The 15284-nt window shown below is 48.9% G+C and overlaps 1 protein-coding gene across 4 annotated transcripts; it reads right to left on the reverse strand.

Annotated features, from left to right (window-relative positions):
- Nucleotides 1-2873: 2873 nt before the first annotated feature.
- Nucleotides 2874-13572, reverse strand: SPDYE6 (speedy/RINGO cell cycle regulator family member E6). Of its 4 annotated transcripts, NM_001146210.4 has the most exons (8): nt 12992-13572; nt 11831-12049; nt 10286-10516; nt 9194-9252; nt 7856-7941; nt 5412-5805; nt 5185-5289; nt 2874-4349 (listed from the first exon to the last, which is right to left on the reverse strand). In NM_001146210.4, the coding sequence occupies exons 1-7, from the start codon at nt 13149-13151 to the stop codon at nt 5230-5232; spliced, it is 1209 nt and encodes a 402-aa protein (NP_001139682.2). In that variant the 5' UTR covers nt 13152-13572; the 3' UTR covers nt 2874-4349; nt 5185-5229. The 4 variants fall into 4 exon arrangements, with proteins under 4 accessions (NP_001139682.2, XP_047276750.1, XP_047276749.1 ...); XM_047420794.1 differs by having other exon boundaries at nt 3598-5289; XM_047420793.1 differs by having other exon boundaries at nt 3598-5805.
- Nucleotides 13573-15284: the final 1712 nt, after the last annotated feature.

Below are 15284 nucleotides of genomic sequence, written 5' to 3' on the forward strand. Positions count from 1 at the left end.
GAGAGGCTGAGGCAGGATAATCGCTTGAACCTGGGAGGAGGAGGTGGCAGTGAGCTGAGATCGTGCCATTGCACTCCAGCGTGGGCAACAAGAGTGAAACGTCGTCTCAAAAAATAAAAAAAAAAGTCCGGGCGTGATGGCTCACACCTGTAATCCCAGCACTTTGAGAGGCCAAGACGGGTGGATCACGAGGTCAGGAGTTCAAGACCAGCCTGGCCTAGATGGTGAAACCCTGTCTCTACTAAAAATACAAATATTAGCTGGGCATGGTGGCATGCACCTGTAATCTCAGCTACTCAGAAGTCTGATGCAGGAGAATTGCTAAAACCCAGGAGGGGGAGGTTATATTGAGCTGAGATTGCACCACTGCACTCTAGCCTGGGCGACAGAGCAAGACTCCGTCTCGAAAGAAAGAAAGAGAAAGGAAATTCCCCAGGGAAGTACCTCGGCTGATTTCATAAACAGGTACCGAAGGAAGCAGAGGCATGTGGAGGACTTCCCCACCTCGTGCAGCTATTTGGGCCGTGGCGTCTGAAATTTATTATTTCAGAGTCACCCCTTTGATGACCTTGGCAGTGAACTGCAGTCATCTGTTTAGGCCTTTCCATGGCCCACGTCAATGCCGTTATTTCTGTTTGTTGCACATTTGATTTCCTTGTTGTTGGCATTTAGAAGGCCCCCTGCTTCCCAGATCACACCACGGGCATGGACCACAGAGATTGCATCTTGTGAGTCTGTAGAAATGGTCAAGGCCTTGTCCTCTCTTAGGTCCAGAGCTCAGGTGAATGCAGATTTTCCCGGCCATCTGTGCTGAAGTCCCTGTGGGGAGGCTCCTGGCTGGTTTCCTGTAGGTAGACAGCTACACGTCCTGCCCTTCATTGGCTTCTTTTCATGAAGCTCCTGCCATCTACAAAACATGTCTCCCTTCTTGAATCACTTCTCTGTTATTGAAACTCTAGAAGTCAACCGGGCATGGTGGCTATGCCTATAATCCCAGCATTTTGGGATGCCAAGGCGGGTGGATCACCTGAGGTCAGGAGTTCAAGACCAGCCTGGCCAACATGGCGAAACCCCGTCTCTAATACAAATACAAAAATTAGCCAAGCATGGTGGCCACTGTACTCCAGCCTGGGCGACAGAGCAAGACTCTGTCTCGAAAAAAAAAAAAAAAAAAAAAAGAGAAAGAAAGTATCATGCTTTTCTGCATTCTGTGAATTGTTTTAGTGAGTTATCGAACTTGAGGGCATGGTGGGAACCTCCAAATTTGCAGCCAGTTGGTGAGAAGTACATGTGGTCTGAGGACACCCAAGCCTGCAGGTGTGTCTAAAGCGAGGGCAGCCTAGTAGGGGCTGGTGGCCTTAACCTGTGGCATTTGAGGTAACATCAGGGAGTTGACATCAGAATTGCATCACATAGGCTGGGCGCGGTGGCTCACACCTGTAATCCTAGCACTTTGGGAGGCCAAGGCGGGCAGATCACGAGGTCAGGAGATCGAGACCATCCTGGCTAAGACAGTGAAATCCCGTCTCTACTAAAAATACAAAAAATTAGCCAGGCATGGTGGCGGGCGCCTGTAGTCCCAGCTACTTGGGAGGCTGAGGCAGGAGAATGGCGTGAACCCAGGAGGCGGAGCTTGCATTGAGCCAAGATCACGCCACCGCACTCCAGCCTGGGTGACAGAGCGAGACTCCATCCCCCCCCCAAAAAAAAAAAGACCAAAAACAGAATTGTGTCTCAGGCCAGATGCAGTGGCTCATGCTTATAATCCCAGCAATTTGAAAGGCAAGGTAAGAAGATCGCTTGAGCTTGAGTCTGAGGCCGCAGTGAGCTATGACCACACCACTGCACCCCAGTCTGGGTGACAGCGCAAGACCCCAACTCCAAAAAGGAAAAAGAAAAATCACAAAGAATTGCATGTCAGAGTGCCTGTCTTTCACAGCTTTAACTGCTGCAGGAACGAACTTTTTTTTTTTTTTTTTTTTTGAGAGGGTGTGAGGAGACACAATCTCTGCTAGTGATTCTCCTGCCTCAGCCTCCCAAATAGCTGGGATTATAGGCGTGCACCACCACGCCTGCCTAATTTTTGTATTTTTAGTAGAGACAGGGTTTCACCATGTTGGCCAGGCTGGTCTCAAACTCCTGCTGGGATCATGGGCGTGAGCCACCACGCCCGGCCACCTTTAGAGTTTTCTTACCACCTGGTTTTCCTCTCTCAATATCTTTCTCTCATTTCCTGCCTTAAAACTCTAGCTTGGCATCTGGGCGCAGTAGCTCATGCCTGTAATCCCAGCACTTTGGGAGGCCGAGGTAGGTGGATCACTTGAAGTCAGGAGTTCGAGACCAGCCTGGCCAACATGGTGAAACCTTGTCTCTACTATTTTTACAAAAGTTAGTCGGACGTACAGACGGGTGCCTGTAGTCCCAGCTACTTGGGAGGCTGAGGCAGGAGAATTTGTTTGAACCCAGAGGTGAAAGTTGCAGGGAGCCGAGGTTGTGCCACTGCACTCCAGCCTGGGAGACAGAGCAAGACTCTGTCTCCAAAACAAACAAACAAACAAAAAAACCCTGTAGCTTGGGATCAGCCTTCTCTTCTATTGTTTTTCTTTAAAAAATAAAAATTAAAAATAGATGTAGATGCTATGTTGCTGAGGCTGGCCTCAAACTCCTGGCCTCAGGTGATCCTCCCACCATGACCTCCAAAACCGCAGGGATTGTAGGTGTGAGCACTGCACCCAGCCTTATGTTTTTTTCTACATAAAAAACAGCACAGGATTATCTTCCAGAGCTAATAAATATGTTCAAATAACCACAACCCCATTAAGGAAAAATATCACTGGGCAGCAAATAATCAATCCAGACCAATATGATCACAATTGCTGTGAAGGTGAGAAAAGTTCATTTTTATTATGTTTCCCCAAGAGACCCACTCTATTGTTCTCTTGAAAACACACAGCTCATGTCCTCCTTTAGAACACACATTCTCTTTAAAGTAATATACAAACATGCCAAAACAAGGTAAAAAATTACATCTGAATTCTCACATTTCAAACATATATGAAATATCAAATAAAAATTTATTTTTACAAGAATTTAGGGGAACTACTACATAGCTATAAATGTAATATATATGTTAACTAAGTATCATAGATAAAATCCATGCTCCCTTCAGCAGCACGTGTAATAATAGATACAAAGATTGAAAGGTAAAAGATTTAGGATGAAAAGAATCCTCTCTTAAAAAGGAAAACAAAATTATATGTATGTGTATATAACAGTTATAATACCCATCACACAGCTTTGTAGAAACAGCATCTATTCAAAAATACCAGTATTTCCAAAATATTTAAAATAATATTTAATGTAAAAATAATATTTAAATAAATAAATATATTTAATAAATATTTAAATAAATAAAATAATATTTAAATAATTCTATACCCATGTTTTTCAAAATAAACCAATAAAATAGATAGTATATATTAGACGTGTTAGTATATATATCTGAGACATGTTAAAAATCACAACTGAATTCTCACAATTCAGTCACAAACCTAAACAGCAAATAAAAATTTCTATCACCAGAATTATGTATTTTTCTGGTGGGGAACTACCAATAGCTATAAATAGAAGAGATTATTATGGAAGTATCATAGATAAAAAGAGTGCTCGCTTCAGGAGCACATATAATAATACAGAAACAAATTTAAAGATAATAAAATATTTAGGATAAAAGAATTGTCTCTTAAAAATGAAAAGAAAATTAGCTTTATGTATATATAACAACTATAACTCTCATCAAAAAACTACAGGAACAGCATGTTTTCAAAAGTACAACAATTTCCAAACTATTTGAAATAAATCTATGAATAATTCAATGGCCGACATTTTCCAAACAAACCAATAAAATGCAGAGTGTGCATGAAGCTATCTGTTACAATCTGTGGCACTGATATTTCACAAAAGAATTCTGTCCCAATCTGAGCCCCTGCATTGTGCCTTCAAATCCTCCTGGACTGCAAGTCCGTAAGAAACAGGACCTCCAGGTTCCGCCCCAGGGAGGTTGGAATTCAGCAATATAAAAAGGGTGGTGGTGCCGCAGGAAAGGGTGGAACTGGAAACGCTCCTGGTTTCTTACTTTTCTCCAAGGACTCCTAGAAGGACCCCACCCCCCTCCCCCCACCCCTGCTCCTAGGAGGACAACGTGATCACTGTATTCAGCTCCATCAAGAATGGTCCAGGTTCTTCTAGATGATCTGCACAAATGGTTCCTCTCCTCCTGCCTGGTGTCTGCCATTAGCATTGGAATAAAGTTCCTGCTGAAAATCCACATCTCCCCTGGGTCCGGTGTTCTGGAAGCGAGAGAGACAATGTCACACTTCAAGGAGGCAGCTCTCTAGACAGGAAAGTTATTCACGTCCCATGTCAATTGAGAAATGCAATTTTATCTGCTGCCTTTCATTCTATACCCTGCTTCTGAACCATCGTGTTCAACTGTGAAACTCACACTTTGGTGACCACGACTCCAAAACTCACTTAATACACCCAAGGTCAGCCCCAGTGATCTGCTTCATACCAAGGACTTTGGGTGGGTCTGCCCAGGGAGTAGGGCACCCTCAGAGAATGTGGCTTTGGACTTTATCACAGCTGGGGCCTTTTGTGTCACTTAAGATCTAAACTTGTAACCATGCTAGATGTGTTTCTAATGTGACAACATCACGAACCACGAGTCCAGAAGCCTAATCCTTAATCCTACCTCCTCATGATGAAGTCTCATGCTCTGTGCTCAACGTGGTTAGCTGCACAAGATGTAAACCAAAGCTTCACTGAACCCTCGACCCAAATCAGTAACTCAAGTGCGTCAATCATAATGAACCTCCCCAAACTCAGTTTTTATGATTATTTTTGAGGCAGGGTCTCACTCTGTCGCCCAGACTGGAGTGCAGTGGCAGGATCAGGGCTCCGTGCGGCCCCGACCTTCCAGGCTCCAGCGATCCTCCCGCCTCAGCCTCCTGAGTAGTTGGGAGTAGAGATGCGTCCCACATCGCCTGGCTAATTTTTGTATTTTTGTGGAGAGGGGATCTCGCCACGTTGCCCAGGCTTGAAGCCAGATCAAGCAATTGGGTTCTTCGGATTTCCGAAATAGACCCCAATATTCTGCCTTTACCCCAGAGGATGCAGATGTACCTTCTCTCAGGCCGATGACCTCAGGCCTCCCCGGTCCCTGGAGCTCTAGGAAAGGTGAGCGCGATCTCGCGCCCACACCCAGTGCTCTGGGTCATAAGCCTGGATCTGGAAAAACAAACGCCCTTTGAGAAGACGGGGACTCGCCAGGATACCCCTCTCTCCCCTCATCCAGCCTCCAGCCCACCCAATTCCTCCCCACCTCCTCCACCTCCCCAGGCCCCACTCACCTCCTCCAACTCCTCTGGGGAAACCCAAGCCCTGCAGCTCATGGAACAGAAGAAGTGGAACCGTCGTTTCTGGAACAGGACTATCTGAGAGCGGTTCTTCCTGGCCCTCGAGTTCATGGAACGGTATAACTGGAACCGATGCTTACGGAGCAAGGGTATGCGAGAGCGGTTCTTCCTGGCCCTCGGGTTCGTGGAACGGTATAACTGGAACCGACGCTTACGGAGCAAGGGTATGCGAGAGCGGTTCTTCCTGGCCCTCGGGTTCATGGAATGGCCTAACTGGAACCAACGCTTACGGAGCAAGGGTATGCGAGAGCGGTTCTTCCTATACAGGAAGTGGAAGATGTTTTGTTTGGAGTCCTCGTCGTCCTCCTCCATGTCATTGGCCAGGTAGCTGAGGACAGAAATCAGGTTGCTGCTCAGGGGCACCACCAGGAGAGGCCTCCGGCTGAGGTCAGCTTCCCAGAGAGGAAGGTAAGGGACCGTCCCTAGCTCAGGACTGGCACCCACCCTGCAGAGAGCCATGCCTTCCTCAGGAGGGCTCTGCTGGACAGAGACCTGATCAAGGGCGTCTCCCACTCCTTCAGGATGGAGACAAAAACCCAACTGGTGGCCGAGAGTGGTGGCTTACGCCTGGAATCCCAGCACACTGGGAGGCCAAAGCAGGAGGATCACTTGAGGCCAGGAGTTTGAGACGGGCCTGGGCAACATAGCAAGACCCTCGTCTCTATTAAAAATGTAAGAAATATGCAGACGCGGTGGCTCATGCCTGTAATCCCAGCACTTTAGAAGGCTGAAGCAGGTGGATCGCTTGAGACCAGGAGTTGGAGACCAGCCTGGTCAACACGGAGAAACCCCATCTCTACTAAAAATACAAAAATGAGCCTGGTGCGGTGGCACACCCGTTAGGCCTAGCTACTCAGGAGGCTGAAGCACAAGAATTGTGTGAACCCAGGAGGCGGAGGTTGCAGTGAGTTGAGATTGGGCCACTCCATTCCAGCCTGAGAGGCAGAACAAGACTCTGTCTCAATAAACAAACAAACAAACAAACTGTCCAGGTGTGGTGGCACAGCCCTGTAGTCGGAGCTAATAAAGAAGCTGAGGTGGGAGGATCGCTTGAGCCCAGGATATGGAGGCTGCGGTGAGCTATGATCTCACCACTGCACTCCAGCTTGGGGGACAGGGCAAGTCTGTCTCAAAAAAATAAAAGAAATTGAATACATTGATATTTTGCCAGGACCCTGCCTTCTACAGGCATTTAGTCTAATGGGACTGGGAGTAATCAAGGCAGATGACCTAATCCCAGTGTCCAGGATGTAACTAGAGAGCTACGGGCATGCAGAAGTTGGAAGATGAGGGAAGGCATCACAGAGGCTGTGGGGTGAACTGATTTCAAGGAATGGGTCCTTCCCTTCAGAGCCACATGTGTGCGGGACACCCAGACAGAAAACACAAACACAAAGTCGAGTGGAGGGCATTTGGAAGGAGCAGTGAAGCCGAGCCAGGAAATACCAAGATGGCGAGCCAGTGTGCTTGTAGAGATTGTAGAGAGGGTAGAATTGACACTGTGGACCCTGGCCTCGATAGAGAAAGGCATCAGCTAAGGAAGTTGTTCAGGTGGGCAGTGAGGTTGTCGTGCTTTGGAAAGATGTTCAGGCTGCACTAGGAAGCCCCCTGGCTTGGGGAGAGACTCCAGGAGACCCCAGCGGGGAGCATTTGACAGTAAATTCGAGTGATGCGAGGGGGACCTGAACTGTGGCCTCTGTCATGGGAACCCAGAGGAGGTCGATGGCGTTTGTGGTTGATGTGGGAAGGAGAGAGAGAGAAGAACCAGAAACGTCTGCTTGCTGGAGGAAGCGGCATGTCCGCTCCTCCACTCCTTTTCTTTTCCCCTTAGGAGCGGTTTATGGTTCCTTTTGTTTTATTCTTTTATTTGTACACTGGCATTGGAGTTTGTTTTTTTGGCTTTTTTTTTTTTTTTTTTTTTTTTTTTTGAGAAAAAGTCTCACTCTGTCACCCAGGCTGGAGTACAGTGGCTCGACCTTAGCTTACTGCAACCTCCACCTCCTGGGTTCAAAGGGTTCTCTTGCCTCAGCCTCCCGAGTAGCTGGGATTACAGATGCACACCACCACGCCCAGCTAATTTTTCTATTTTTAGTAGAGACGGGATTTGGCCATGTTGGCCAGGCTGGTCTCGAACTGCTGACCTCAGGTGATCCGCCTGCCTCGGCCTCCCAAAGTGCTGGGATTACAGGCGTATTCCACTGTGCCCAGCCTGAGTTTCTGTTTAGAAACAACAGTCTATGATAGTATAATCCTCTCTTTTTTGTACACAGAGTAAAGAGGACAAATAGGTGAAAGAATAAATGAAAGGCTGGAATCCCACTTCCCCCGCTGTCCCAGGGCATTGGATATTGACGGATAGGAGGCAGCAAACCACTCACAGAGCCAGGAAGAAATGAATGCGTTGGTATTGCCAGGAGGGGAAGCCAGCCCGGCTGAAATACGCTATGACCATAGCCAGGAGATACTGATGGAGAGAAAGGAACACAGAGAGGGAGAGGTCACATCTTGGAAGAGGAAGATTGTGGAGAGGGGGAATGAGGGTCTGGGGAGGGGCTGCCCATCAGAGAAGGGACCTCAGTGTTGGGGTGACTACTCATTTGGAAATTGCGGGATGGAGGGGTATTCGAAGGTCGGATGCAAATCCGAGAAGCCAGAGGAAGGGTTTTGGGTGATGCTCCCAGGATGGTGGGCTCCGATGGGATCTTTGGAGGGGGTGTGTCTAGGTCGGCTGGTGTCAGGAGGGTCTTTTGTGTGCCAGGCAGAGAACTGTCCCGAAGAGCTGAGAGTAGAGGGGCCAGGAGCTTCAGGGCTGCGGCCAGACTGTGGCCCAGAGCTCAGATCCCAAAGGACCCATAGGAGAGGCAGGGGCCACTCATTCACTCTGCAAGAGACCAGCAGAATCCTGAGGGAGATGCTGACAAATCATAAAAAGACCAAGAATAGCCGGGAGTGGCGGCTCAAGCCTGTGATCCCAGTACTTTTTGAGAGGTGGAGACAGGAGGATCATGTGAGCCCAACAGTTCGAGAACAACCTGGGCAACATAGTGAGACCCTGTTTCTACAAACATTTCAAAAATTAGTTGAGCATGGTGGCATGTGCCTAGTCCCAGCTCCTCAGGAGGCTGAGGAAAGAAGATTGCTTGAGCCCAGGAATTAGAGGCTGCAATGAGCTATGTTCATGCCACTGCACTCCATCCTGGGGAGCAGAGCTAGACTCTGTCTCACAAAAAAAAAAATTTGTGGGTGCCAAGACTCAAGACCATGGGAGCTGGTCGGGCACAGTGGCTGACGTCTATAATCTCAGCACTTTGGGAGGCCAAGGCGGGTGGATCGCCTGAGGTCAGGTGTTCAGGACCAACCTGGCCAACATGGCAAAACCCCGTTTCTACTAAAAACACAAAAATTAGCCAGGCGTGGTGGTTCATGTCTGTAATCCCAGCTGCTTGGAGGCTGAGGCAGGAGAATCACTTGAACCCAGGAGGCATGGGCTGCAGTGAGTCAAGATCGAGACACAGCCCTCCAGCCTGGGCAACAGAGCAAGACTCTGTCTCACACACACACACACACACACACACAAAAAAAAAAAAAAAAAAAAAAAAAAAGACTGTAGGAGCATCTGGTGGGAGGTGGTGGAGGGAGAACTGTGGGTTTGGAAGCTGCGCCCTCCCCCCAGCCATGCGTTGGAACAGGAACAGTTACATGGAGAACAACCTTACCTTGTCCGACACCCTCAGATCTTTGTCCCAGGCCAAGAATCTTTTAATGACAGGATCCTCTGTGATTAGAGAGCAGATGTCAGTGTGAGAAGCAGGACAGGGTTTCCGTGGGAGCAGCAGGGCAGGGAGGAGAAGTGTGCCTCCCGGGGGGAAGTCTCAGGATTGTGGCCGCGGGTGAGGTGGATGGGAGAGGGGAGAATGACTTTCACTGGGCAAGGGAGAGAGGCTCCTGCTCTGAGACTCCCCTGAGAAGAGGCCGAAGGAGGCCCTGGGTGTGAGAATCTACAGGATGTAGAGCTGGGAATCAGCCAGGACCCCCTCCAGCAGACACGGAGGGACCACTGCAGAGTCATAAAGGAATTCCCATCATTTCCTCATGAGACAGTCACATCAGGGTGTGACCATGGCCTTGGTATCCCCCACTATGGATGGAGACACTTAGGTTTAGAAAAGTCAGTAAGAGACATTAAGTTTCAGAGGGCACAGCGGAAACCACTTTCTTTGTTTATTGATTTTGTTTTTCTTTATTTGATTTTTATTTTTATTTATTTATTAATTTATTTTGAGACAGAGTCTTGCTCTGTGGGCCAGGCTGGAATGCAGTGGCCTGATCTTGGCTCACTGCAACCTCTGCCTCCCGGGTTTAAGCGATTCTCCTGTCTCAGCCTCCCGAGTAGCTGGGATTACATGCATGAGCTACTGTGCCCAGCCTTGGTTTTTCTTTTGAGACAGGGTTTTGCTCTGTCACCCAGGCTGGAGTGCAGTGGTGTAGTCATAGCTCACTGCAGCCTCAAAGTCCTGAGTTCAAGCAATCCTCTTGCCTCAGCCTCCCAACGTGCTGGGATCTCAGGCGGGAGCCACTGCGCCTGGCCCGAAACCAAGCTTTCTTATCCCAAGCGCTGACCTTTATCAAGTTGACCTAATCCTTTATCATCTCCTAAGTGTCCCTCATGAGTGATCACTTCACATTCCTCCCACATGGAGAGCTCACCCACTGGGGCCTATTTTTCCCATTGGAAAAGTGTGGTTATTGGAAGTTTCCTGTTTTTGGAAAGAACAGGATTGGAGGTGCTCTCTGGGGTGTCCTCCTACCAAGCAGCCTGTTGAAGGCCTCGTGGTGCTCAGGGAGCACGAGCGACACTCGCCGTCGCTTCAGCTTCATCTTGAGGCCACACAGCATCTCCGCCACCCAGATCTCCTCAGGCTCAGGGGCGAGCACCTTCCGTGGCTCCTCCTCCAACGACTCCTCAGATTCGTCCCACCACTCCATCTTCCTTTTCCAGCAAAAGGACCTATGCGGGGGGCTGGGATCTACCCCAGGGGCTGAGTAAAGAAACCAGGCCACGGTGTAATGCTTCTGCAGTTGATCACACTAGAGCCCGACCCAAAACCCCAAACCACTCTCCATCCTCCCCAGCCTCGCAGACTGCTGGCTTCTCCAAGCCATCTTTCCTTCTGTCTGTCTCCTCTGCTGAGCTCCATGTGCCGCTCCTTCTCCTCCCCATTCTCCCGTTTTTCTGTCCTCAGAACACTTCCTCATATCCTTCCCTGGTCCCTGGCTCTCTGAGTCCCTTTTTTTTTTTTTTTTTTTCGTTGTTGTTGTCGTTGTTGTTGTTGAGAAACAGTCTTGCTTTGTGGCCTAGGCTGGAGTGTAGTGGTGCGATCTTGGCTCACTGCAACCTCTGCCTCCCGGGTTCCAGTGATTCTCCTGCCTAAGCCTCCCAAGTAGCTGGGATTACAGGTGCCCACCAGAACGCCCAGCTCATTTTTGTGCTTCTAGAAGAGACAGGGTTTCACCATGTTGGCCAGGCTGGTCTCCAACTCCTGGCCTCAAGTGATCTGCCTGCCTGGCCTCCCAAAGTGCTGGGATTACAGGTGTGAGCCACTGCACCCTGCCTCAGTACCTCCATTCTTCCCACACACCCTCCTCATGTGCTCCTTCCTGACTTCTGGGCCCTTCCTTCCTTTTTTTTTTTTTTTTTGAGACAGCGTCTCACTCTCTCACCCAGAATGGAATGCAGTGGCGCTATCTTGGCTCAAAGCAACCTCTTCCACCTGGGTTCAAGCGATTATCCTGTCTCAGCCTCCTGAGTAGCTGGGATAACAAGCATGCCTGGCTAATTTTTGTATTGTTAGTATAAATGAGGTTTCGCTATATTGGTCTGGTTGGTCTCGAACAACTGACCTCAAGTGATCCACCCATCTCAGCCTCCCAAAGTAATGGGATTACAGGCATGAGCTACCACACCCGGCCTTCGTTTTTCTTTTGACACAGGGTTTTGCTCTGTCACCCAGGCTGGAGTGCAGTGGTGCAGTCATAGCTCACTGCAGCCTCAAAGTCCTGAGTTCAAGCAATCCTCTTGCCTCAGCCTCCCAACGTGCTAGCATCTCAGGCGTGAGCCACTGCACCTGGCCCGAAACCAAGCTTTCTCATCCCAAGCGCCAACCTTTATCAAGTCTAGCCTAGTCCTCTATCGTCTCCTAAGTGTCCCTCATGAGTGATCACTTCTGAGTCCTCCTGCGTGGAGAGCTCAGCTACTGGGGGCGTATCTTTCCCATTGGAAAAGTGTGGTTATTGGAAGTTTCCTCTTTTTAGAAAGAACAGGATTGGAGGTGCTCTCTGGGGTATCCTCCTACCAAGCTGACTGTTGAAGTCCTTGTGGTGCTCAGGGAGGATGGATGACACTCGCTGTTGCTTCAGCTTCATCTTGAGCCCACACAGCATCTCCACTACCCAGGTCTCCTCAGGCTCAGGGGCGAGCTCCTTCTCCGGCTCCTCCTCAGATTCATCTGACCACTCCCTCTTCCTTTTCCAGCCAAGGGACCTACATGGGGGGCTGGGATCTACCCCAGGGGCTGAGTAAAGAAACCAGGCCACCGTGTAATGCTTCTGCATCTGATCACCTTAGACCCCGACCCAAAACCCCAAACCACTCTCCATCCTCCCCAGACTTGCAGACTGCTGGCTTCTCTAAGCCATCTTTCTGATTTTCTCCTCTGCTCGACCCCATGTGCCGCTCCTTCCCCTCCCCATTCTTCTCTCTCTCTGTCCTCCGAACACTGCTTCATGTCCTTCCCTGGTCCCTGGCTCTCTGAGTCCCTCCTTTTTTGTTTTGTTTTGTTTTGACACAGAATCTTGCTTTGTCACCCAGGCTGGAGTGTAGTGGTGCAATCTCAGCTCACTGCAACATCCATCTCCTGGATTCCATTTATTCTTCTGCCTCAGCCTCTCAGGTAGCTGGGATTACAGGTGCCTGCCATAATGCCCAGCTCAATTTTGTACTTTTAGTAGAGACAGGGTTTCACCATGTTGGCCAGGCTGGTCTCAAACTCCTGGCCTCAAGTGATCCGCCTGCCTTGGCCTCCCAAAGTTCTGGGCTTACAGGTGTGAGCCACTGCACCCAGCCTGAATTTCTCCATTCTTCCCACACACCCTCCTCAGGTTCTCCTTCCTGACCACTGACCCTTCTTTTCTTTTTTTTTTTTTTTGGAGTGCAGTAGTGTGCTCTCAGCTCACTGCAACCTCTTCCTCCCAGTCTCAAGTGATTCTCCTGTCTCAGCCTCCTGAGTAGCTGGGATTACAGGTGTGCACCACTACAACTTGGCTAATTTTTATACTTTTAGTAGAGATGGGGTTTCACCATATTGGCCAGGCTGGCCTTGATCTCCTGACCTCAGGTGATCCGCCCGCCTCGGCCTCCCAAAGTGCTGGGGTTACAGGCGTGAGCCACCGCACCCGGCCCCCTTCCTTCGTCTTAGTCAATCCTATCCCACCTCTTCTTCCACCAGTCCCCTCACCTGATGGTCCCAACATTTCATCATCCACCACCTCCTGGAGGGGGTACCCCGAGGTGCTCCGCTGGGGACTCTGCTCATTCTGGGGGTGCGGTTGACGGCTGGTCGTGATCTTTCCCGTAATCTGTCCCCTCTTACGGAACCTAGTCTCCGTTCTGTCCATGGCCTTCTTCTGGACACTTCTAGGATCCAGAAGAGTATGTTATCAATTCTCAAGCCTAGGAGAAGTCAGGAGTAGAGAACAGCTCTGAGAAGATACTGTTGTCCAACTGATCTCCAGGCACCACGGAGTCCGGTCCCTCCAATCAGGAAGGTCGGAATCTCTGATGTCATCGTTCATGCCAACCTGGCAACCAGTTTGAAAAAAAACACATGTAACTGCCAGGCTGATCTCTTGTCCTGGAGATCCTGGGTGAATGGTATCTCCTGCCACTGTCCCAACCTCAGACCATTGTCCAAAAGCATCTTCAGGGACTCCACATCCCTCTATTCCCTGTCCCAGCAGAGGCTGTGTCCTCTCCACTCAAAGCCTGAAGCATGTTGGGGTCTCTTCGTCTCTGTACATGCCCATTTCAGAGTCCAGTCTGGTGGGAGAGGGAACAGAGTGGGAAAGAAAACTAGGGTAAGCAGAAACGATGAAACCTTATAAGAGTGAGAGTATCATGTACAAGAGTGAGATTATCATGTACAAGAGTGAGATTATCACGTACAAGAGATCCCAGGAATACTGACTTGATGAAAAAGTCACATCAGAGCACTCAGTTTGGCAGAGCTTTTCTGCCGAATGTTTACTCACATTCACTGTCCGAGATTCTATACTGGGGGTACACACGTCCTCTGCCCTAAGGCAATTTTGAGTCCAAGAGACATTTTGAGGCCTAAAAATCATAGGAAACTGCCCCTGAGCTCACACATATTTCCAATGGTGTCCCCAGTTTCAGGGAATCCATGGATTACCTAAGCCAGCCCCTCCAGTTCGGCTAAGAAACTCTAGTCTATATATCAAGTTTTGTATCATATGTATTGCTCTGAACTCAGAAATTTCCCTTCCATTTATGGATTCTATGAATAAAATATCACATGTACAAAAAGACTAAGTCAAAAAATTTCAGCTGTGCACAGTGGCTCATGCTTGTAATCCCAGCACTTTGGGTGGCCAAGGGAGGAAGATTGCCTGAGGCCAGCAGTTCGAGACCAGTATAGGCAACATAGCAAGAGCCCATCTCTAAAAAAACAAAACCAAACCAAATTAGCCAGGTGTGGTGGCTGGCACCTGTGTTCCAACTACTTGGGAGACTCATGTGACAGGAAGATCACTTGAGCCCAGGAGTTAGAAGCTGCAGTGAGCCGTGATCTTGCCACTGCACTCCAGTCTGGGCAACACAGCAAGATACTGTGTCAAAAAAATTTTTTTTGATAAAAAATAAAAGAGTTACATGACATTCAGAGACCATCCAAAAAACCTGTGGGTTCCCGGCTGGGCTCAGTGGCTCATGCCTGTAATCCCAGCACTTTGGGAGGCCAAAGTGGGTGGATCACTTGAGGTCAGGAGTTTGAGACCAGCCTGGACAACATGGTGAAACCCCATCTCTACTAAAAATACAAAAAATTAGCCAGGCATGGTGGTGGATGCCTGTAATCGCAGCTACTCAGGAGAGGGCGCTGGAGAATCACTTGAACTCATGGTGCGCAGGTTGCAGGGAGCCAAGATGGCACCATTGTGCTCCAGCCTGGGCAACAAGAGCAAAACTCCATCTCAAAAAAAATAAAGAACCTGCGAGTGAGTTCCCACACGTTTTCCTAATGGGCTGCTGCTTTCCTAGGAGTCTCTCGCTCATAGAAAAGGCACAAACTGAAAGAGGAAGCAGATCCCATTGCTGTGGAAGTCCCATTGTTAGGAAGCTCTGCTTTTCTGGAGTTCAAATTCGCATTCATGACGCTTTAAACCGTCAGAGCTGGGTGGGTCCTCCTACAACAAAATAGTTTGCTCTCTCTCTCCTAGTTAACAGGCTTTCAAATATTAGAAGATCAATGTTCTGACCCCATTAAAATTTCTCTTTTGTGGAATGAAAAGCTCTGATTTAACCCATCTTCAAGCCTGGTTTGCATATTCCTCTCTCTTCCGGCCACCTTGTCTAGACACACTACACTGAGGCCATGCCCATCACAAATGATGTCGATACATTGTCAAAAAATTGGCAAACCAGGCGCGGTGGCTCATGCCTGTAATCCTACCACTTTAAGAAGCAGAGGCAGACAGATCACCAGAGGTCAGAAGTTCGAGACCAGCCTGTCC

The sequence above is a fragment of the Homo sapiens genome, chromosome 7, assembly GCF_000001405.40.
Source record: "Homo sapiens chromosome 7, GRCh38.p14 Primary Assembly".
In the NCBI taxonomy this organism is placed as follows: Eukaryota; Metazoa; Chordata; class Mammalia; order Primates; family Hominidae; genus Homo; species Homo sapiens.

Coding starts and splice junctions, on each gene's coding strand:
- SPDYE6 (XM_047420793.1), bottom strand. CDS start 13,151: ATGGACAGAACGGAGACTAGGTTCCGTAAGAGGGGACAGATTACGGGA. Junction 10,517..11,830: donor GGACTTCAACAGTCAGCTTG/GTAGGAGGATAC, acceptor TTCTTTACTCAG/CCCCTGGGGTAGATCCCAGC. Junction 5,806..7,855: donor ATTCATTTCTTCCTGGCTCT/GTGAGTGGTTTG, acceptor TTCTGTCCTCAG/CTACCTGGCCAATGACATGG.